This window comes from Homo sapiens, chromosome 13 (genome assembly GCF_000001405.40).
Source record: "Homo sapiens chromosome 13, GRCh38.p14 Primary Assembly".
NCBI lineage: Eukaryota > Metazoa > Chordata > Mammalia > Primates > Hominidae > Homo > Homo sapiens.
The window spans coordinates 34586284-34611943 of NC_000013.11; the positions used below are offsets into that span (position 1 = coordinate 34586284).

The following is a 25660-nucleotide window of genomic DNA, read 5'->3' on the forward strand; positions in this document are numbered from 1 at the left end:
GGAGATGAGAAGCCGAGGGAGTAGGCTCTCCTGGAGTCCATGCATGACATGCTGGTGGCATGTGGTGGCCTGGTGGTGGGTGGATGAGGAGCAGATATGTTGTGAACTGTGGAGAAGGCCATGTTGCTGCTAGTTAAAGCAGCTGGATACTGAATGGCCTCAGAAGCAGGAGACTAACCATGATGTATCTGACGCTTAGCTGTGGGAGTCCTGGCATAGGACAGAGTGACAAGAGATGGCGCTTCTAAGGAAACATATCAATCAAGATCAGATACAGTAGCTTCTTGTTATTCACAGGAGTCATGTTCTAGAAAGTCACCAAGAACTCTGAATTAGTGAATACTGAACCTTTGCTCCTAAAGGAAATACATGATGATGTTCCCACAAGCCCCTAGTCACACATTTTCATCAACCAATCAATACATACCATTGATTTATGTGCATTTAAGACACCCTATTTAACCTGTGTTGCTGATTCATTAATATTGAGCTCACAGCCTACAGCACCATAACCGCACCTAAAGGAAGCTCCTCTAACACTCTTATTTTCTCCATGAAGCACATCACAGCTTTCTTGTTTCTCGGAACATCAGACAGCTCTTCAGTGCTACATTTGGGAGCCATTTTGTATAGCAAAGTTACCAACAAAGATCCCATAAGTGCGAAAAACACAGTACTAACTGGACTGCGAAGAAGACGCTTGTCTACAGTATGAGAACGGAAACAAAATGGCTGTGCGGCCATCTTTGACCCAGCTGGAAATGTGCTCCTCCAGTGATTTGAAGTTTTATTGCCACTCTGTACATGTCCGCAAATGACGAAGTGCTGGGAATATTGATTTGGGGGTAACAAATGAATTTTAGTGAGTAGGCAAATTCTCAGATAGGGAATCCACAAATAATGAGGGCGGACTCCATTTGTTAAGACATTGTTGTGTACTTGGAGCATGTATGTATGGGTTGCATGTGTACATACCGGAAGACGAAGAACACGCAACAATGTCCGGGTTTATCCTATGCACTTCTCAACAATGTATAGAAGCGTCACAAACTCTAAATACTACTATAGCCAATAGGAGAGGATTAAGCCTTCTAAGACTATTTTATTCAACTGAGTTAGCCACTTAAGATTCCAGTACATCCAGTTAGAAGAAAACATTATAATATTGTGTTTGCATGAAGAATCCATAAGATATAAAAGTGTACCAACAGATCATTAATTGTATACAATTTATTTGTAAGAAGGTCAATGCTTTCTGATCACAGGACGTATTAGAAATACATAAATGTGAGATTCCTGGACAGTTTCAAAATAACAAAACCAACTCTCAATTTATTTGGTAAATAAATAATCATGCCAATGGATCACAGGCAAATAAATCTTAAGCTCAAAAGACATTTTAATACTCTGGTTACTCTTTAAGTAAATCCATGTGAGAATTTTAGTACCTAAAGTGAAAATGGCGAGTTCTGGGCTTCCTGCCAATTTCATTTGGGGTGTGAAATTTCTGACTTACAAGCTGAAATTCTTGGAACCTTAGAAGAAATTTTTTTTTTTTTTTTATAATTGAGAATGGTTCTCCCACCCACAAAACGACCTACTTCCTTTTACCTAGCAGCTTTGGAGGAGCAAGTGTGAGCGGTGTGAGAAGGACCTTCTGGGAGGCAGGACCTCAGTCCACCTGCAGCCCCACAGCCTCTCCTCACTACTGGCTGCCCCTTGGTGCACGAGCATTCCACAGCCTGGGGAATGTCATGGCACCAGTAAGGCATTGTGCCACCACATCCCCAGCCCAGGTTATTTGAGGTAAAGGGAGAAATGACAAAGGAAGTGCCAGCACCTGCTTCCGCACTCCCCTTCCCAGCTTCTCTGGAGGCTCCTTCCTTCAGGGATGTCACATTGTTCCTTCCTCCCTTCACGACCTCCCTCAAGCTTGCTGCCTAAGCAGCCTCCTAATGTCACTTCTGTGATTTCTCACTTCGGGGTATTTTTACCCATGGGTGTGAGGAACAAGGAAGCAACATGTCGTGGAAGGAGGGTAATTGCCCATGGCTCCTCTATCAAATGAGAGCACAGGAGGAGCAGAAGAGACTTCTCCAGGGGCACGCAGCTTCTCCCTCTCCTTGGAGAGCTTGCCCTGCATCCCCTGAAATTTTGAAGTGCAGGAACTTGCAGCCCGTTCTTATCTGAGGAAGCTGAAGAGACTGTGGATGAGCCTGACTCCTGCACAGGATATCTCGCAGACATGGGAAGGGCTGACACACTGCTGGGGCGTAGGCCACACTGCTGTGCCCCGCCAGGCGTGGGCAGGGCAGGGTAGAGGGACAGTCTGCGTGAGTACTTGGACCCTGTTTTAGCCAGGAGAGCTGCCTGGAGGGACAAGGAGATGTCTGTAGAAAGAGGCTGGTTGGGGATAGAGGGTGAGGGTCTTACCAATGCCCCTGGGCTAAGGAAGGAGCCACAAGGCTACCCAGAATACAGGCTTATCCTTTCTTAAGGTAAAACCAGGTGAGAGAGTCCAACCTATAACCTACCAGGAGCTCAAATATACTCCATGGAAAGAACCAGACATCTGCCAGGCCCAGGGTATGAACCACCCAGCAATGTAAGAATTACCCCATCCTTTTAGCCTCCCTTCTCCTCCTCCTCCCAAGGCAGGAAGCAGAAGCTTGTGAGATAAGGCATTCTAACCCCCTCGTCTCCAAACTGACCCAGGCTGGTGCCAGGAGGTTGATGCTTTAACATGAAGCCAAGTCAGACATCTTGAATAATAGCTTGGACTGGACATTAAATGTTTGAAATTGAGTCTATGCCTTATGTCACCATAGGGATGCACATTTTCTAAGAATAAAAAGAAAAGCTCTGGGATATGCCAGAATCTGCATCCAGGATTGAAGGGAAAAAAGCTCCACTACATCAAGTTTAATGGGGTAATGAGAGGCAAAATAAAGTTATGCTTGTTTTAGACCTGATTCTCGTTTGTTCAACTTACCTGATAGATTCACGCACACTTAGAAACAACAGGAACAATAAGGTAAAATAGGAAACTGATGCACTGATTATCAGTCAGAGGTTCAGGAAACAAATTTTTAGAGTAGAATGTTCAGAAACACCCAATGTAGTCTCCACATAGGTCTCTCTGAGCTGGAGCCTTGTATCTTTCAACTTAAATGTCCCACAGGCATCTCAGAAGAAGCATGTTCAAATGTCTGCCACCTCAAAACTCTCTTCCTCCAAGGCTCCAGAGTCAGGTCCTTGCACTAGCTTTTTTATTCATACTTTTCAAAAATAAATAAATATGAAACTGCATAAAGAGCATGTAGTACTTTAATGGGCAAAAAATGTACTACTATTACACAGAATCTATTATTACAAGCTGGTCAAGGAAGGGAGGGAGGGAGAGAGGGAGGGTGGGAAGCAGAAGGGAGGGAGGCAAGGAGGAAAGAAGAGGCCGGGTGCACAGCCCATCACAAATTCGGGTGTGTGCCAGCCCATATCCGTGTTTGTGGACAAAGATCTACAGGTTGGTCACACATGAGGGCATGGAGTTTATTCACAGCCACCCACTGTAAAGGCCAGCACTTCAACACTGCAGGTGACATCTGGTCTTCACTTAGGAATGCAGGCACCTGTGGCTAGCAGGTAGTAGGGGTTTAGGTGATTGAGAAAAGAATGTTGTCAGGACATGTCATCAGAAGACCTGTTTGCAGCTTAGAGGGATCACTTAAAACCTTAGGAGTTTGAGTGGTGAATTCTCTTTAAACTTCATTTTTCTTATCTGTAAAGTGAGAATAAGAATCTTAACTCTGTTTATCTCCTAGAAGGTGTGGGAATCAACGTGGTGGATACTGTGTCCCGATCCCCCTTGAGGACCAAGGCACTCGTTTGCATGGCACTAGGGGTTTTGACTGCTGATGGTCCTCTGCTGAGTCCCCCTCTAGGAATTATCCTCAGCCTTTCCCAAGGTCTGCATCTCCAGACCATACCTACCCCAATGATTCATTAACACAGGTTGAAATCATTTCCAAAGGACAACTCCATCTCCCCACCTTCATGTTCCACCATAGGCCAGGCCTCCATCACCTCTCACCTAGTAGATTCTTGCAATTCATCTCTCTCGTTTTGCCCTTGACACACTGCAGCCTGAATGATCCTTGTAAAAGGAAATTATACCATGTTCTCCATGGCTACCCATCCTTTTAGCATGAAAGCCAAAATCCTTATGAATGCCTACAGAGCCCACACAGCATTCCACTGCTGGCTCACCCTGCCGGGAACCTTGTGATCTCCTCTCCAGATCCAATACGCTCTCCTTGTTCATGTTGCTCCAGCCACACTGGACTCCCCGCCCTAACTCAAACCCGCCAGGCACTCTCCAGACTCCAGGCCTTTGCATTGGTCACTCCCTCTCCCTACAAGGCTCTCCCTGACATGAACTGTTTCCTCGCTTCCCTCAAGTCTGTGTAAATGGCTCCTGATCACTGAGGTTTTCCTCCCCACTGTACTTAAAATTGCAACACCCTATCCCTTTTTCCTGCTTCATTTTCCTCCTTAACATGCATCACCATTATCACACATATAAGTCCATATTTTACTTATATACTTGTTGATTGTCTCCTCCCACTAGAATATAAGCTCTGTGATGGTAGGAATTTTTGCTTTGTTTTCTTCACTGCCATAACCCCAGCACTGTGTCCAGTGATGGACACAGAACCAGTCTTCATTAAATATTGACTGATGGAATGAATAAATTAATAACAGGTGAAGAGTTTCCCTGACAAACAGAAACTAACTTTTTTTTTCCCTGTGAGTAAATAAATGTTCAACAGAATTCAGATATTCCTGATCTGCATATAGGCAAGTACATATATACAAATGTAAGAATATAGTACTTGAACATAACACAGTGTTATTCAACACCTAAAGACACATAGAAAAATTTGCCAGAGTCGGTTAGTCAATGACAGCAATGCATTCTGAGAACTGACATTATCAGCATCTAAATCCTACTTCTTCTCTTTTCTGCAAGAAAGAGCCAAAGAATGACACATTTGAATTATTGTGACATCTTTTCTTCTTTGCCAAAGAAACTGACGAGAAAGGTCTGTGAAATTATAAGGGCAGATGTTACCATACAGTCTGTAATTTTTTCTTCTTTACCATTTCTCAAAGCACTAGGGCTTCTGAAGTTTCAATCGTTTTTTCTTTCTTTCTTTTTTGGAGACAGGGTCTCACTTTGTCACCCAGACCAGAGTGCAGTGGCATGATCATAGCTCTCTGTAACTGATTGACGCCCCTGGGCTCAAGGGATCCTCTCGCCCTAACCTCCTGAGTTGCTGGGACTACACATATGTACCACCACACACAGCTAATTTTTTGTTTTTTTCATAGAGACGGAGTCTATGTTGCCCAGGCTGGTCTCAAACTCCTGGGCTCAAGCAGTCCTGCCTCAGCCTCCCAAAGAGCTCAGATTACAGGCATGAGCCACCATGCCCAGCCTGAATGTCCAATCATATCATTTTGTTTTCCATAAAAGACACTGGGCCTAGGTTTTGGTTTTTTGTTTGTTTTTTTTTTATTTTTGGAAAAAAAAAAAAAAAAAACAATTCTCAGGGTGGAAACAAAATCTTCATCTTCTGCAATTTCCCTGGACTTTCTGGCCCTGCCCCAAGTGCAACTTCTCAGGATTCAGATGTGACTCCTCCCTCAGTTGACAAAAGGCTGTGCAAGAGCCATTAACAGAGTCATCTCGGGCTTTTGCTATTAGCCCACAATTTGCTGTGCTGGATTTGCCAGTAATTTATTTGCCCTACCAAATTACTAGAGTTCACATAGTTGGCAGTAGTTTGGAGGGAACGGATCTCCCAGCAACACCTGACAGGAAAACAAATAGGAACCAGAAACCCTTTGGTCCCAGTGGTGCTCCATGTCCCCTGCTTTGCCAAATCTCTCTGCAAGCCAGTCATTCTTTGAAAAGGGAGAGAGTGGATGAAGCCCAGAAAGAGTCACACTCACATCATCCCAGGCATTCTAAGAAATGTGACTGGACCAGTATAAGCCCTACTGAAGCTTTTGCATAAGCTCCCAGGATCAATCTCCCCCTTGGCATACAAAACAGCTCTGATTCCAACACTGTGAATAGAAGCCACCCACTGACTGTCCTCAGAGATCATCTCTCACACCCCAAGAAACTCTATTGTTGAATCAAAAACTCATTTGAATAATGAGTAACTTCAGGCCTGGCCATTTGTAGAGGGAGAGGCCAAAAAAAAAAAATTCCAATGCTAATATAGAAGAATGCTAGGCAATGGGAAAAAATCACAGTCAGTTGCCTCCACAAAGCAGGTAAAAAACTGTGGTGTAATTTTGTAGTCTTTGGAAGCCCTTCAGAGTTTTCTTATTAAAAATAGTAAAAGATGGGTATAAAAGACGGAGGGCAGAAGCAGAGGTGTTCATGCTGGGGTCCCTGTATGCGATTTCAGAGGGATCACAAAAAGCCCAATCATTCCACACTTGGCAGGTCCTCAGTGAGAAAGTAGCCCTGTCTCTCCTCCAACCTCTGGACATGCAGGTTGCTTGCGTGCTATTTATGTTTTGATTGACAAGTGTATGCTCTGTCTAGGTAAGTAGAGAAGCACCTCTTGCAAAGATGCTTCAAAAGAGCAGCTGTCTGGAAAGATGAAGCAATGCCAGGGTGGTTCAAGAGCCAATCCAAATACCAGTCACGGAGGTAAACATGAACAGATGAGGCCAACACTGCAATAAGGAGACTTACTCTAGGATCCCACGGTGTACTGGAGACAGACAATGTGATACGTTATTTCTTTTTCTTTATTTTTCATTAGGAGATTATCCAACCAAGAATTATTGTCTTTTAAGGAATGATCTTGGTTTATAGCATTTGTGCCTGTCATATTGTTTTCAAACTTAAGAGAAAAAAATATCACTTTACTTTTCATTCTCTCAAACACTTTAGCATGGTGTTCAGTGTCCTTAATGACCTTGTGCCACATGCTCTCATCTTCCACCCACTGAAAGTCTCTGTCGCCCATACAGTCTGTATAGCAAAATCCGTGTCCACAATTCCTTAAACATGCATAAACCTTCACTTATTCCTTCTTTTTTTTTTTTTTTGCTTTCTTGCAACCCCACTGGATCAAATTATACTCATTGTTTCATTGTTCAAGGGCTATCCAAATTAATCTCTTCTTTGGGGAGACCCAAATGCCTTCCTAAGCAGAATGTATTCCTGAAAGTGTGATCTTTGGCAGACTGTAATAGTCCCACTACAGATTTGCCCGATATGTAAAAGTCCATTGTTTATGAGCCTCTCTTACTCTACTATGAAGTTTTGGTGGACTGATCTGTATCTTATTCACATACTCCCTACCCACTCTTTAAATGTTTGATGAATGAATGTGTGAACAAAAGAGAGACAGAATCTATCTCTTTGTTCCCTCATGCTTTCACTGTCTTTTGTTTTAAAGAAAAGAAAAATCTACAGCCCAGAGAAATTCAGTCTTTCCCTGCATAACCTTGTCAAAGCTGCAAACACAGAATTAACTGAACAGCCTCACCGGCTGCATGGACATATGTAGTGTTAGGACAGCCATTGTGTGCTTCCACCACTGACAAGAATCAAGTATGTGGTAGAGAAATACCACCAGTGGTATATAAAAAAAGGAATATTGTTTATTAAAATTCTGAAACTCTAGGCAAAGACTCCAGTGAACTCTCCTACATGCTTTCCAAAATATATCAGTCTCTAGCAAAAAGGATTATTCCTTTGGGATTTGACCTCTTATTTCTTTAAATTCCCAAGACATACTCTAGCCCACAGACGCTACCAAACTGAAGTGTTGACAGTGCTTGAGTGATACTGATGTCATCAGAGAGAGGACAAGTAGTCAATTTGCAGGGAGCTGGGACCATCATATCAATGGGGAGTGAAAGGTGGAGATGGGGATTTTCGACTCTTCTTTATTTCTGCACTGTAACCCTTTAAGTACATGTGAGTGGTCACCCTGCAATTGCAGCAAGTGAAAGCCTTTATCCTAGAAGCCTTTATACTAAAGGAATCTGCTGACATAAATAGTGTCAATTCAACGGGTAGAAGGGTCTTGGAGGATTCTAATAATATTGTGCTAATGTCTCTCACAGAATTAGCAAAATCTAAGACCAAGGCAAGGATATCATTCCTCTGGGCTCCAATCTGTCTAGCTCCCAGGGCCCCAGACATTGCAGGGACTGGTGATTGAGGAGTTTCACCTTAGACCAGGAAGCATCCCTTTGTAAGTGACTTTCTGGAAGCTACTGAAAGCGAGAAAGTGTAATTTTAGCATTATCACATCAGCATGCGCATTGACGTGTTTATAATATACAGGACCATTCCTAAGGCATTTGGCCATAATTGCTGGGTCAATTCACAGGGCAGTCAAGATGCTCCAAGAGTGCTATGGAACAGGATGCTAATGGCATGTAGCCGTGATAGAATGCCGAAGTGATGATAGTTTAAGATACATGAGACATCAGCAAGGGTGACAGGCAAAAGAAGATGCAGAACTTTGCCTCTGCAGGAAGAAAAAAGGGCTTAGTTTAGCTAAAATGTCTTTTATGTTCCACAATCATCATCATTGTTCTATCACTATGTCATTATTATCAGGAGCCACAGGGTCAGGACACTGCCACTTCACACACACATGCATGTATACACACATGCACACACACATACATGGATGCATGCACACACAGGCACACACACACACACACGCACATACAAATGGGTTTAAACTAACTCAAACTCTGCTCTTCTTTGGTTTTAAGTGTTTGTGTGTGTGTGTGTGTGTGTGTGTGTGTGTGTGTGTATTCGTCCGTTCTCACATTGCTACAAAGAACTATCTGAGATTGGATAATTTATGAAGAAAATAGGTTTTTAATTGACTCACATTTCCACAGGCTATACAGGAAGCCTGGCTAGGAGGCCTCAGGAAACTTACAATCATGGCAGAAGGCAAAGGGGTAGCAAGCACGTCTTACGATGGCAGAGCAACAGAGAGAGAGAGAGTGCGTGTACAAAGGGGGAAGTGCCACACACTTTTAAATCACCGGATCTCGTGAGAACTCACTAGCTATCACAAGAACAGCAAGGGGGAAATCCAATCACCTCCCACCAGGTCGCCACCCAACATCGGGAACTGCAATTCGAAATGAGATTTGGGTGGAGCCACAGAGCCAAACTATACACACACACACACACACACACACACATATGTATATGTATACACACACACGTGCGCGCACACACACACACACACACACACGCAGAGGGGAGGGGGAGGTCTAGAAAGTCTTGGACATGGACTTAAAGAATGCAACCAGAATGATAAGGGTACACAAACATAAAGTTATTTGTATACATCAGGATGAAGGAACCCCTGGAGGAGTAAGTCTTCTTCATCATAACTGAAGTCCTAAGGCCATCAGCTTACTTTCACCTGAGTCTTACATATTCTGGCTTCCACTTTGTTTTCATTCGCCATCCTTTACCTAAGCATCTCAGTCATCGCTATAGTTTCTTCTGTATATTCATAATATTCTAATCTCTGAGGTCTAGACCCATAATTCTAACTGCCTATTACTATTAGATATTGACGTCATCTGGATATCATAAATTCAATACATCCAAAAGCAGATGACCACAATGGGTCAAAAATTAAGTAGTTTTGATTCTTAGCAGGTAAATTGTGTGATTATGTCCAATGACAAAAAATTTAGAGCAGTATTTTTCAAACTTTCAGTAAGCTGTGGACTACCTGCTTCATGGGTAAACATGGACCAACAATTTTTCTAATTTTTATGGATTGATTGCAATTTTAAACAATTAAAAAATCAAGCATTTTTAATTAATATTCATGTTTTTATATCAAGAAAAATGATGATATTATTACAAATTATAACCAGTTACCAAAAGGAAACTTTTGTCTGTTTCAACTGAGGCCCCAAGACAATAAGTGCCATTACACTTTCATTCCAAACTGAGGTGATATACTATTTATAAAGGTGTTTATTAAGGCCAAGAAGGGAGTTTGAGCTTGAAAAGAGAATTTCATTGGAAAATGCTGTTCAAGTGTTGTGACATTTTCCTTCTCCACCCCCAGGGAGAAATAGGAGGTAGTTCAGCTACCTCATCTCAAAGCTAAAGAGAAATGTTCAAATTCATAGAGTTTGAGGTGTAACCTTAGAGTTTGTGGGACAAAGTAAACTTGTGTTTGACTAATAGCAAAGAGATACAAAGGGAGAAAGGCTGAGTGAAGCAGAGTGGAGATTGTAATTACATACTTACATTTCCACTGATGAGGAAACAAATATGTTTCTAGTAGACAAAAGACTTATTTTTAAAAACCCTAAGTATGCAAGAAAATAAAATAACCAAAAACTAAGGGGAAGAGGAACCCACAGAAAAATGTCCAGATATGCAAAAAGATTAAATGACCAAAACCCAACAGAGGTTGAAAACAATAACAACACTTTTAGGTGCCCAGAAATTTGAGTTATCAAACATGGATTTTAGAATACCTGTGATTATTATTCAAGTAAGTAGATGGTGAGATGGTGAACTTCACCAGACAGCTATAATGCATAAAAAGAATCAAATGGGAATTATGGAAATCAAAAATAAAATAACCTAAATTAAAAAAATTGACGGATGTGTTAAACAACAGGTTAAACATGGTACAAGAAAGAATTAGTGAACTGGAAATGGACCAATAGAAAATATCCAGCTGAAATCACAGAGAGAAATAAGCAATTGCAAGTAGAAAAAGGCCATAATTGAAAAGACTACAAGAGATATACCAGACACCATTTAAAAAAATCTGACAAGTGTTAGTCTCCAAAGAGAAGAAAGAAATAATGTGTCAGAAGCAGTATGTGAAGACAGACTATGAATTTTGCAAAACTGACAAAAGACATAAAACCACAGACACATAAAGATTCTAGAGGCTCTACCAATGTCAAGCAATATAAATACAAAGAAAACCACACCTAGGCACATCAGAGTAAAACTGCTGAAAACTGAAGTCAGTGAGAAACGGTTCATTCAAGGAGCAATAATAAGACCAATGGCTGACTTTTCAACTGAAACTATGTTCAAGAGACGATGAAATGACATTTTTAAAGTGTTGAAAGGGGGCAGGGTGGGGGGAACTGCCAATCTGCAATGCTATAACTAGAGAAAATAAGCTTCAAAACTGAAAGTGAAAAAAAGAATGTTATTCTTATCTCATGACATATATAACATTTTATTCTAAGTAGATTGCAAACAAAAAAACAATAAATTCCATTTCATAAAATTGGGAACTTCTGTTAATCAAAAAACGTTACTAAGAAAGTAAAAAGACAAGCCCTACCCAGGGCAAAGTTATTTTTAATCCATATGGCTGGCAAAGGATTCATATCTACAAACTATAAACAGCTTCTAAGAAACAGTGAGAAAAAGACCAAGAGCCCAATTTGTAAATAATCGTCAGAAGATGTATTCAAACATTTTATAAAATATGACATCCAAGTGGTCAGTAAGCATTTGAAAAGGTGAGCAACCTCACTAGTTATCGATGAAATAGCAATTAAAACAATAAGATAACAGCACTGGCAAAATTAATGGCAAATGGCAAAAGTGAAAAAGAAAATACCAAGTGTTGCAAGGATGAGAAACAACTGGAATCATCATTGGTGCATTTAAATGGATACAAGGAATTTAGAAAACTGTTTGGCAGTATCTTCTAAAGCTCAACATATACCTGTTCTGTGACCTAGTAATTCTACTTGTAGATATAAACCCAACAAAAATATCTACCAAAAGAAATGTAAGGAATGTATAAAGCAGCATTATTTGCAAGAACCAAAAAATAGAAAAGTCCAAATGCCCAGCATCTCATTCACACTTTCCAAACAGAATTAACTCCTTCTGCTACAGCAGACAGTTGTTTATGCACCTGTTCTCAATGCCTGCACCTCACTCCATCTCCACTCTCATTAAACACTGGTCTTCAGTTACTCAGGGACTCTAGTGAATAAAAAGATCTTGGATGGATTCAGCAAAAGAGACCTAAATTATCTAAATGAAATGACATTATTATTTTGACTTAAAGGTCAAAATTAAAAGCTTCTTTTAAGCACACATATCCTCACTGACCAGCTGTGGGGTTCCGTGCTAATCCAACTGTGGGAACACTATTTGGGTGAGATTTGAAGAGAGATGAGATTCCACAATTCTGAAGAACTGGTATGTGTCCATGGACAGTTTATCTGGGAAACTTGACTTTCCAATGATAGACAGTAGAGAGCAGATATATTTCCCAAGCATGTCTGTAATAGGCATACAAATTGTAGAAGCTGCATTATCAATTACTCAGTTCATTAATAATATAAAAAGTTAATGAGTATAGAAAAGAGTGAAAACTTACATTGTAATATGTAAGGTTTTTTTTCCTTTTTACTGTTTCCACTATAGCACACTTTATAGTCTTTTGGAAATAGACTATAAAGTCTTAATAATATATTAACATGTAGATATATTATTAAGCATCAACATGGCGTTCCCAATATCCTGGGTCTTTTTAATGCTACTGAATAACACCTCTAAAATATAAGCTTCACTCCCCATTTTTCCTTTACTCAGCACCTACTGAATGCAAAGCCTGCAAAGAGGACACTTCCACATCTTCCCCCTCTACCTACACAAGTCCACTCCAAAGCAAATACAGGGCCCCAAATCACAAAGGAATTTTAAAGCCCATAGGTAGCTGATCTTTGAATTCTGGCAAGTTCTCTATTTGTCGCTATCATATTCTAAAGCATTTTTCAATTTGCACATGGATGATAATGCAGGAGACGATTTCTGATTCTCGTCAACTAGGAGATGTGAGTTGAGGGTGTCTTTTGTCAGCCTTCAAAGGGGAGGATCTTTTCACATGCAAACTGTGGATAAAGTTCCAACAGAGGGTTAAATCCAAGGTCAAGCACAGGTGTGTCCAGGTCTTAGTGAAATCACAATGAATTACACCTTGTTCAAACCCTGGTCCCACAATTTTCCAACTGTAGAAGCTTGGGCAAGGAAATTGACTTTCCTCTGTTTCAAAGGTTTTCATCTGTCAAAAGGAGATAAAAATGCTTGCCCTGAGAGGTTTTTGTGGAAATTAAATGAAATAATTCATACGAAGTACTTAGTCTGATAAAGCCTTGTACAAAGGAAGCACTGAATAACTATCAGGCTTATTATTATTATTATTACTATCATCATCATCACAATAAAGATAATTATTATTATTCTATCATCTCAGACACCTAAATATCATTTCTATATTAAGGCACAGCAGCACCATTTGATATCCTTTGGGAAAGAAACAGCCCTCCTTTTATTCTACATCTTTTTGTTACTCACTCATTAGCTCACTATAAATTTGTGCTTTTCTCTTATTACAATATCCATTGGACCAGAAATGCTTTTTGAATGGATAATAACAATGACAACCACAATAATTAGCACAAACGGAGTGCTTATGTTGAGCCAGGCATGGATCTAAGGGCTTTACATGCATTCTGTCACAACCACCTCATACTGCAGGTACTTTTGTTACCCCCACCTGATACATTTACTAAGAGAATGCCAATGTATTTCTTCTGCACACCACCCAGACTCAGGTTTGCCATTTGGCCTCCAGGAAAGAAAATTTCTCTCATGTTTCTCTGATGGTGCTGTGCACGAGGCACGAAGGGGGTGAGATGGCTTGGATCTGTGTCCCCACCCAAATCCCATGTCAAATTATAATCCCCAGTGTGGGAGGTGGGGCGTGGCCGGAGGTGACTGGATCAGGGGGCCAGTTTCTCATGGTTTAGCACCATCCCCACTTGGTGCTGTAGTTGCAATAGTGAGTTCTTGTGAGATTCGGTTGTTTCCAAATGTGTGGTACCTCCCACCTTGCTCTCTCTTGGTCCTGCTCCTGCCATGCAAGATGCCTGCTCCTGCTTTGCCTTCCTCCATGAGACCTCCCAGAAGCAGATGCTACCATGCTTCCTGTACAGCCTGCAGAACTGTGAGCCAATTAAACCCCTTTTCTTTATAAATTGCCCAGTCTCAGGTATTATTTTATAGCAATGCAAGAACTGACTAATACAGGGCAAGTTGCCAGGCAATGACCCTGGAGGCTAGTGAAGACATCACACAGGAGAAAATAAGACACATCTTAAAGAAGGAAAGACGCACCAGGCAGAGCAAAATCAGAAAACAAGCACAGCCTAGACCCCCTGGGGACTGGCAGCACTGCAGTGGTTGTCATGGAAGGAGTGAGACAGGGAGGTTGAAGGCAGATGGGCCAGATTGTGGGGGACCCGCAATCCACGTGACGGCCTCGTCCTCTTAATAGTGTATAGATTGTGGTAGCAAGGAGCATGCCAAGAGTTTAACCTGGGGTTTCACATGATCTTTTCCACATATTTCCTCTTACAAAGATCCCTCAGAGCCACTGTGAAGGTTGGCAATACTAGACTCCAAGAAACATTGAAGGTAAAATATATGAAAGACGAAAGGACCAGCAGGGAGTCAGTGGTGGTGCAGCTGGAGGGGAGGGTCAGATCCCAGAAAGATGAGGTAGAGTGGAAAAGGTGTGATGGCTGATGGGATGTGGTTGGTGAAAAGGAGGGGACAGGCCAGGTGCAGTAGCTCACGTGTATAATCCCAGCACTTTGGGAGGCCAAGGCAGGAGGGTCACCTCAGGTCAGGAGTTCGAGACCAGCCTGATCAACATGGTGAAACCACATCTCTATTAAAAATACAAAAAATTAGCTGGGTGTGGTGGTGTGTGCCTGTAATGGCAGCTACTTGGGAGGCTGAGTCAGGAGAATTGCTTGAACCTAGGAGGCAGAGGTTGCAATGAGCCAAGATTGTGACACTGCACACCAGCCTGGGTGACAGAGCAAGACTCTGTCTCAAAAAAAAAAAAAAAAAGAAAGAAAGAGAGAGAGAAAGAAGGAAAGAAAGAAAGAAAGAAAGAAAGAAAGAAAGAAAGAAAGAAAGAAAGAAAGAAAGAAAAGAAAACCGAAAAAGGGGGACAATCCAGTAAGATCCCCAGTCTCAGTGACCAGGAGGATGGTGATAACAATGAAATAAACAAGAATACAAAACAGGAGGTAGGATTTTTTTTTTTTTTATTTTGGGCTGTTGAAGAAGATAATAACTTCAGTATTGAACATGTGGAAAGAGAACTGATAAGAACTTGTGAAATTCCTAAATTTCTAGGTTGGCAAATATTTAAAGGTAAAGAGAAGGGGCTTCTCTTTAAAGGTAAAGTGGAGGGGCTCCCGATGGGATTACAGGAGCCTTCTAGTGGTCGGAACCTTGGCTTGTGTCAAACAGCCTTGGGTTTCAGTCCTGCCACTGCCATGGCAAGTCACATAGGGCTGTAGAGAATTGTGGGGTAAAATGGTAAAGGCCTGTGCACTTTGACTCCAAAATCTTACTTCTGGGGATTTATCTAAGGGAAATAATCCGGAGGGCTCAGGATGTGTGAACATGGCAGTTCCCTATAGCACTATTTATAGCAGCAAAACATGGAATTAAGTGCTCAAAAACAAGAGATAAGAAGTCATGTCACAACTATTAAGTAGAACATTATGCAGCCAGTAAAATGCATAGCCCTGCTTTTAGAGATGGAAAGATGTTCACCATCTGAGGAAGAGGCAGCTACTTATTCAATGTCCAGCCCAATCCCATTTCATGCCATTCTCTCCCCAGTCATTCTCTCCAAATGTCACCTCCTAAAAGAAGCCTCCTCTGACCCTGCAGTCCCCTCTATCTCCCAAGTCACTATGATTTCACCCAGTTCATTTTATCATTATTCATCAAGCATCTTAATCATGAGTGTCTGTTTCTCTGTCTATCCAGTTGGAACCCTGTGAAAATAGTAGTGACATTGAAATAAGACCATTTGTATTAAATGAGATGACACATAAATACATAAATGTGCCCGGCACAAAAGAAGTGCTAAATAACTGCCAGCCTTAGCCATTATTATTTTTCTTCCTTACATCTCTCTACTACATATTTATTTTCCTCTTCCTATCATCACTTTGAGATCTTTCAAAAGTCTTTTGTAATTAATAGGTAAATATTTTTGGTCGAAGGTAAATATACACCAATATTCAAGGGAAATATACACCAATTTTCAAGGGAAACCAGATTCTTTCTTAATGTAATTAAGAAACAGGCGCTTCAATTTCTTTCTGTAATGAAGACATTATTTATCATAATACATAAACATATATATACATATATATAAAGAACATATTTAGTGGTTTATTAAAAATAAGATGGGCTGGGCGTGGTGGCTCATGCCTGTAATCCCAGCACTTTGAGAGGCCGAGGTGGGTGGATACTTAAGGTCAGGAGTTTGAGACCAGCCTGGCCAACATGCTGAAACTCCATCTGTACTAAAAATACAAAAATACAAAATAGCCAGGTGTGGTGGCGGGCTGTAATCCCAGCAGCTCAAGAGGCTGAGGCAGGAGAATCACTTGAACATGGGAGCTGGAGGATGCAATGAGCCAAGATTGTGCCACGGCACTCCAGCCTGGGTGACAGTGAGACACTCTGTCTCAGAAGAAAACATAAAAAATAAAAAATAAAAATGAGTAATTAAGTTTTTGCCTATTTAAATATTTATGTTTGCCAATCCTTAAAAGAGGATCTGCTCTATGATAGATATCACTCCTTCACAAATTTCTTTTAGAAATTCATTTTGCATTGCCTTCTCCTTTTTTTTCCTCCAAGGCCTTATATAAAGACTAGTATTATTTGAATGTCATGATTTTGAATAACACAGACACATTCTTTTTCTTGTATTTTTACTCTCTCATCTCCTTTGTGACACTCATGTTTTTATGTTTCTCTTCTGTTTTAACGAGATGAACGCCTAATTGTTCTTCCATAAGAGAAGTGACACATTAATGGGAGCATGCTAAATATAAGAGCATACATGGGGACATGTTCTTTATATGGGATTTGGAAAGTCAGAGAGGGCAGTCTCTATCAGGTACAGGCAGGAACTTTTGGTTCTGGTTTTAGAAGAGAGAAGCTTCTATTTTCAATGCCTTAAAATCTGTAAGAAGCCATTTTGCATGGCCATAGGAAGGTCACCTGATAAGGGTGCAATTGAAAATGCACTCCTTGGGCAGAAAATTTCTAATGCTCTACAACAATGGAGCAGTCTGCACATTTAGTAGCATGAAATTTGGGGAAGAATCGACAGACAACTGCATATCTAAAAAAGCTCATCCTAATTTGAGGGCAGGTTTTGTTAATAAAACGGGACATAAAGGTTTATATTCCCCTTCCAAAATAAAAAATAACTGCAATGGTAATAAAATGCCTTTGGTTAAGCTCTGCTTGCATTAAACTATCGCCCACAGCACCACGTCTTTTATGCTGGTGGATAGCTATGCTTCCACTCCTCAAGATCTTAAGCAACATACATTTAACAGCATGACACGATAAAGGGAAAGCAAATTTCTTTTCTTCACACCAGATGGGAATAAGAAACGTGAGTGTTGTACACAATGAAACAATATCTATAAATCTAGCATTGTATCATCCCATTTCAGACTATAAAATTAGAAGATTCATCAGTTACACCTTCACTCATGAATTATACCTGCTGAGGTATGGGGTCTCTATGGGAAGACTGATACAGATAACACCTTCCAGCAGGTTATATATCAGTGGGTGGCACAGCCCTGGCGGGAGCTGCAACTCTCAGATCCCCCTGCAATCGCACAGCTACGGGATGTCAGGAGAATGCCTGGAGACAGAATTATTAGGAATCTGCTTATTAGCAACTCTGTAATTCATGGGCCAAATGGAGATCTTATTTCAAGGTTTCCTACACACAGAAATGTTCCCAAACAATATTAAGTTAATAGTCAACATTGACTAAAAGTATTTTTCTATTATCAGGAAATTTATTTTTTTTATTAGAGAAGGAAATGAACAGGTTTTCTCTTATTTCTTCCTCCCAGTTTCCAATTCTAACCCACATTCACACCCTTTGTCCTCATGATTCCAACAATGACGATGTGATATTTGCAAGGTGGTAAAAAGTTTTAGAGAGCTTCCGTGTTCATTATCTCATGTGATCCTTTAGCAACCCAGGAAGGTTGGAGCAGAAAAAGCTTAATGACTTGGCCGAGAGTTGGGATGAAAATTCAGATATTCTGAATACTTTTTTAGTGTCTTTTTTTTTCTTCAATGTGCTATGCTATGACATTTCCTTTCTTAGCGTTCCAGTGATATTAGCAAACTAGGTAAAATACACATCAGATGTTCTTTGTTTCCTGTATTCTTTCTCCTTTGTCTTTTTTAAAAGAATACCTATGGGATCCAAAGAAAAGAATGTGGAAGTTTCTGCCCATTTCCTCTCTATTTGAGTCACATTAGATGGGCACTATGCATGGCTACTGAAGGATGAGAAAGTTTACCCTGACTTGCCTGATTTGGGAATGTACAAAAATTAATTTAACCATGCATAATAAATTACCCAAAACTTAGAAGCTTAAAACAACAGTAAATATTTCTTATCTTTGACAACTTGTTTCTCTGGGTCAGGAATTTGGAAGCTACTTGGCTGGGTAGTTTGGCTTGAAAAAGCTGTTCATGAAATTACAGTCAGGTGTTAGCCAAAGCTGGAATTAACTGAAGCCTTAATCAGAGGGTCTGCTCCAAGGTGGCCCACTCGCATGACTGGCAAGGGGCTGCTGGCTGTCAGTAGAAGGCCACGGTTCCTCTCCACATGAGCCCTTCACAGGGCTGCTTGACTGTGCTCACAGCAAGAGTAAGGGACCTGTAAAAGCAAATGGAAACCACAAAGCCCCGTAAGACCTGCCCTGGAAGCCACATGCCACCGGCTCAGCTGTGCTCAATTTCGATTAATCACACACGCCAGCTTGGATTCAGCCTGGGATAAAACTACATGTGTGAAGGACCATTGGGGCCATCTTGGAGACTGGTAGGATTACTGTGGACTTCTCTGAGTAAGCCACTCACCATTCCATCCCTCCTGATAGGATTTAAAACATGTTACCCAAAAAGATGGCGCATCAGCACTTGAGAAAACAGAAGCAGGAAGGCCCTTCCTACCATCCCTTCATCCTTCTTCCCTAAGGAAGGTCATAAGACTCTCATTCAAGAGAAGCCCTCCCTATACCCAAGGGAAAGGAGCCAAAGACACAGAGACACCAGGAAGAATCAGAAAAAACAGAGCTTGCTAAGATTCCCCTGGTTTTTACTATTAGATCATATTCTTTTCTCCTCCAATCATACTTCTCCATGACTGACCACTCTTCAGCAAGCCTATGCATGAAAATACACAAGTTGACCTGTTTCTTTGGGTCTTCATTTCTTTATGAAGGCTCCCACGTCACATAAAATCATAAAAAATAAACTTGCAGCCGGACACAGCGGCTCACGCCTGTAATCCCAGCACTTTGGGAGGCTGAGGCAGGTGGATCACCTGAGGTCGGGAGTTAAAGACCAGCCTGACCAACATGGAGAAACCTCATCTCTACTAAAAATACAAAATTAGCCGGATGTCGTGGCACATGCCTGTAGCTACTCAGAAAGCTGAGGCAGGAGAATCGCTTGAACATGGGAGACAGAGGTTGCAGTGAGCCAAGATCGTGCCATTGCACTCCAGCCTGGACAACAAGAACGAATCTCCATCTCAAAATAAAAATACAATAGTAAAATAAATTTGTATGGTTTCATTTTGTTAATCTGCCTTTTGTTATAGTGACCTCAGCCATGAACCTTTTCCTCCCCTACAATCCTAAGAAACCCGAATGTCCTGGGGCGTCCTGAATGTCTTGGCAGAGGATTGATGTCATGTTGTATATTACTGGGACTTGCTTTTAACATCACCAAATGCTATTAACTGAATGTTTGTGTCCCCCTAAAATTCATATGTTGAATCCCTAATCCCTATAATATGGTACTTGGAGGTGGGCCTTTTGGAGGTCATTAGGTCACAGGGATGGAGCCCTGATTATGGGATTAGTACACTTAGAAGAGTTCTCTCTCTCTCTCTCTCTCTCTCTCTCGCCCCTTCACACATGAGGATATAGCAAGAAGATGGCTATCTGCAAACCAGGAAGAAGGCCCTCACCAGAACCTACCAGCACCCTTATCTACGACTTCCTATCCTTTAGAACTGTGAGAAATAAATGTTTGTTGTTTAAGCTGCCCAATGTATGTTAGTCTGTTATGGCAGTCCAGACAGACTGAGATACCCTCACTCAACCTTTCTCTTGGGAACTCTCCCTCAGTCACATGGACACCATGAACCACCATGTATCCCTAAACCCCTGACCACACTGACCATAGTTTGTTGGTCCAGGAGTAGGCAATTGACCCAAGAGGGAAGGAGGTGTGGAAGATTCCATCCCCAGGCTACAACTGATTGTTCTGAACATTTACTGAACCAAGGAACTAAAGTATGGGTCACCCCTCATCAAGTTGCTCCTGATACAGGAAAAGAAAGAGATATATTGAGGATGAGGGTCGGGGAGGGGGAGAAGGAGAGGAAGGAGAAGGAGAAAAAAGGAAACACAATGAATTCATTATGTTCCCAGAGAGAATGATCAAAACACGGAAGATCTTCTCACAGATGTGCAAGAGTAAGACACCCGACTGCAACACAGCCAATATAATCATTCCCTGAGAGTTTGAACTTGAGGCCAAAACAGACAAATAAACTTGAGGGAAGTCTCTCTTCCTCTAATGGTTGAAATATAGAGTATAAAACTTCCCCACATGAAGGAACTGGTCAGTAGTGAGAAAGAAAGAAGCTGAGATGCAGCACAAAGCAGAGGTTAGTGAAGACAGAAAGCAGAGCCCCTGCCTCCAGGTGAGCCTGCACCTTCTCATAACTTACAACCGCTACATCCTCTACAACCTATTGGATTCTGTGAATCAGTAAATTCCCCTTTATGTATAAACTAGCCTAACAGAGTTGCAATATTGCTCATGCTACAACTCAAATACAAAGAAAATGTAAATTTTATATGGTTTTAGTGGGGAGAATATGTACTTGGTTTTCTCTAATCTGGGATAATTGCTCAATCTCTCCTATATTGGGTTGAACAGTGGAGAGAACTCTCATGGCCTTGTGGCTCTGGAGTACAACGGTTCCTGGAGTTCCAGAGCTCCTCTGGCTTCTGGCAGGGTGTCCTTGGTCTGCCTGATCACTGCTTATTCTGACAAAAGTCACAGCTGCAGGCCCTGCAGCTCCATGCAGCAGTGTGTAACCCATGCACAAGCCTCTCTCTGCCTGCACCCCGGTGACCCCCGCCTTGCACTGCCAAGGCCTCCCCAAGCTCTTGCTGAACACTGAGCCTTTGCTACATTCTCCCTGAGACCTTCTGAACCAGGGGGGTCTCCCTGCAACCCCTGCAGCCTCCTGTGGTATCAGACAGAAAATCATCATCCTCAGCACTTTCCTCAACCTGCCTAACACACCCACCCCTCTCAGGCCTATGCAAGGGAGTTTCCTTCTCCCCACTCAGTCCCTTCTCTCCTTCCCACCATCAGCCTGCAGCAGGAATGAGTGGTTTCTCCACCTCTCTACCACTTGGGGCTTTCCTTACATAAAACCCTAAGCCCTCATCCCTAACCTGACATTCAAGTCTGTTATACTGCTAATGCAGTGACTGTCTTTCCCTTACATCAAAGGTGACAATAAAGTAAGAGTTTAATGGCAATAAGGACTTAAGAAAATTTAAATAGATCGGCTTATTATTTATATGACCAAAAATAGCCCCTTTAAGCAAGTTTGCATTCTATAATGTAAACCCAGAGTCCTAACTAATGCCACTAATGATTCCAGGTAGCAGTAAAAGAGTCGGGTGACATCATTCAGGCACTCGGTAAATTAGTCAACAATCTATTGAGCATTTACTGAACCCAGAAACTCGAGTATGGGTTACCCCCCATCAAGTTGTTCATGATGTAGAAAAAGAAAGAGATAACTTGAGGAGCAGGGGAGGGGAGAAGAGGTGAGGGGAAGGGGAGACGGGAAAAGTGGGAGATCGGGGGGAGGAGGAAGAGAAAGAGAAAAAATAAAATACAATGAATTCATTATGCTCCCAGAGAGAAGAGATCAAAAGAAGGATGATCCCCACACAGATGTGCAAGTGACTAATTCAGTCCAGAAGGAAACCAGGCCCCCCTCACAGTGTTGAGAGAAGACAGCACCAGCCAGCCTTGTAGCCTGAGAAGCTGTCTCCTCACCAGGTTTGAGTCCATTGATTAAATTAAAATCTCTGAACGAGATCTCTTAAGCCTGAATCCAAAGTAGGACAGAGATCATAAAAGGGTATATTGTGCCTTATGCTTGGGCTGTTTGTGTGTATAAATGTGCAGTCCAGGATCTCATTTTTATTTACTTCGATATAAAATGCAGCAAAACAATAGTGGAAGGCACCGGCAAGGACCCAGGGACACAGGCCCGTCCACATGCTGCTGGGGGACTCTGAAGTGGTTCTTCCCCCAGGATCTCCAGTGGCTCCTGGTCTTCCCCTTATGTGACATTCAAACCTGCTGTGTTTACATATTTAATGGCTATCTCTATGAGGACATTGTGTTTTCTTCTTCACAGCTGGATGTCCCCATTTAAGAGCCAACCCTGGACATAAACTGACTGCTCAGCTAGTAAACATGTTTTGAATTCATAAACTCTTCAGGGTGGCAATTTGGCAATATGTATCAGAAGTTCTCAATTTTCCTTAGGAATTTATGCTAAGAAGATGGTCAGGGATGGATACGCATAATTATTTACAAAAGTGTTCAGGACAATGTGGTTTACACTAGGAGAAATCCAGAAACAATGGAGATGTCCAGCAATAAAATCTTGCTTAAAAAACATTGGTACCATCTTTAAAAGAACTACTATGCAATCATTAAAAATGACAATAGTTATAATAAAACTATCACATTTGGTAAATCTGTGTTTTCTGTGTGTGTAGATGTATAAGCAAAGAAAAGAGCTCAGTAGGATGATCCTGACATATTAACAGTAGTCATCTTCAGGTGAAAAGTGTTCAGTTCACTCTTACTTGCTCAGTTTTGTTTATCTTCATTTCTTCAATATTATAAAATAGACATATATTTATTTCATTGTAAGAGTTTAAAAAAAGAAAAATAAGTAAATAGCCCCTCAGCATGTTGTACAGAAAGCTGGTTATTAAATCTCCAACTCATTAATTTGTCCCCACTTTCTGCACAGGCCTCCTAGTCTTCTGTGGATAAGTTATACCCCAGTGCTTAAAGGAGGTGCTTATAACAGGATTTACACATCTGTTTCCTTCCTTCCTGCTCACTAGAAGATGTGTTAGGAGGCTGTATGCTAGGGAAGATACAAGCAAGTCTTTGATAAAGCATCCACTTCTACACTGCTGGTGGTAATGCAAACTAGTACAACCATTATGGAAAACAGTGTGGAGATTCCTTAAAGAACTAAAAGTAGAACTACCATTTGATCCAGCAATGCCACTACTCGGTACCTACCCAGAGGAAAAGAAGTCGTTATACAAAAAAGATACTTGCATGTTCATGTTTATAGCAGCACAATTCACAATTGCAAAAATATGGAACCAGCCCAAATGCCCATCAATCAATGAGTGGATAAAGACACTATGGTATATAGTATGGTATATAATATGGTATATAGTATGATAGAATACTACTCAGCCATAAAAAGAACAAATTAAAGGCATTCGCAGCAACCTGGTTGGAATTGGAAACTATGATTCTAAGTGAAGTAACTCAGGAATGGAAAATCAAACATTATATGTTCTCACTCATAAGTGGGAGCTAAGCTATGAGGATGCAAAGGCCTATGAATGATACAATGTACTTTGGAGACTAGAGGGAAAGGATGGAAGTGGGGTGAGGGATAAAAGACTACAAACTGAGTTCAGTGCATACTGGTCGTGTGATGGGTGCACCAAAATCCCACAAATCACCACTAAAGAACTTACTCATGTAACCAAATACCACCTGTTCCCCCAAAACCTATGGAAATATATGATTTTTTTAAAAAAAATAATAAAGCATCCCTTTATCCATGCAAAAACTTATCTGGGTTAACCCAATCCTAATATTCCTTCTGCACACAACTACCAAAGCTCGAATAGACTTCCCTCCTAACAGGAATCCAAAAGAAAAACACCAGCACTGACCTACACCTAGCAGCTACACCTGCTGCAGTGCCACTGTTTGGCAGGCCTAAAGCTGCAGCCTGCTCTTCCAAAGTCATTTAAAGGGGGGTCAGCAACCCTTGGAGCTCCCAGAAGATCTCTAATGGGTCCAGGCATTCAGTGCATGGACTGCAGAATACAGCGTGTCTTCCAAAGCCACAAATGTCAATTACCGGACTGTTCTTCCACCTTGTGGGAAGAGAAACAGGAGGAAAGAGAAGGGCGAAATGATGGCCATAGTTCCTGAGCAGGAGTAGTATTTGCCTCAGGCACTGTCAAGTACAATAGAGAAGTGGCGTCCAGCCTTTTGAAGGTCTGGCTTAAATCTCTTCGAGGCCTGGACCACTGCTACTCTCTCGTCAGCCAAATTTATTTACATATTTCACCTTGCCTTCGCCTCAGTGAGTTACAACTTAGGAACTCATTTTTTTAAAGCCATTTGAGTCCACGCCTTCTTCTATGAAAGCACTTTTAATTCATCTTTTTCTAAAGGATTCATTTTTAAAAAATCAGATTAGTGATAAAAATTCCTAATGAAATGATTGCTTCTGTAAAGTGATAGAAATGAAATGCCCTGACGAATCCTCCAGGATAATTGTTTCTTCAGTAATGTTTACCATCATTACCTATCCTGAATTTCAGATGCTGCAGCTTCCACCCCCAAAATAGCCACACAATTAATCTCATTAAAAGGAACCATTTATAGTTACGAATTACCTTCATCTTAGGTTGATCAAGGCACTCTACTGATGATAAAATACTCTGATTCACTATAATTTTTGCATGGCTCATTTCTACCAAACAAAGTGCTTCAATCCTTCTAGGTTTATTTATTTATTTTTAAAAAAACTGAATTACAAATTGAGATGTCAAGCAAAAGTTACTTAAAAATGTATTCTTTTCATACTCAGCCTCCAAGTTGATAATCCTTTTTTTGAGGGTTCTCATTACAGTTCCCTTGATGAAGGCAGAGCTCATGAAAATTTGTGCAAAGAAAATATAACATGGCTTAGGAAGAGGGGAAGGAGAGAAGGAAGAGGAGGTTACTAAATTAAAAACTGCTGTGAAACCTTAGATAATGGATTCTGTGTCTTTTGAATAGAAAATTACTGACTCCTCTACACAGATGCTAAGAAGATGCCTTCTCAGACCAAAAGACAAAAGTGCAGAACTCTCTTTCCCTGCTTAACCTTACATGCTTTTCTTTTACTTTCCAAACTCCCTTGATGCATGACTGCCTGGCTGCTGTCAGCCTGTCTAACACCAATTATGTTGTACCAGCTGCAAAGCAAGGGCTCATGGCTTTCTGTGCATTCCATACACACTATAATGTTCCGCCAGGGCAGTGCTCAGTTCTCCA

The 25660-nt window shown here is 41.3% G+C and overlaps 2 long non-coding RNA genes across 2 annotated transcripts in view; one reads left to right on the forward strand and one right to left on the reverse strand.

Annotated features, from left to right (window-relative positions):
- LINC02343 (long intergenic non-protein coding RNA 2343) overlaps positions 1-25660 on the forward strand; it is a 268250-nt gene that overhangs the window by 238241 nt on the left and 4349 nt on the right. Inside the window, exon 3 of the long non-coding RNA NR_146542.1 lies at positions 22193-22336. This is a non-coding gene — a long non-coding RNA (long intergenic non-protein coding RNA 2343). The remainder of the gene's footprint in view (positions 1-22192; positions 22337-25660) is intronic.
- LINC00457 (long intergenic non-protein coding RNA 457) overlaps positions 1-25660 on the reverse strand; it is a 205236-nt gene that overhangs the window by 150834 nt on the left and 28742 nt on the right. The window lies entirely within an intron of this gene.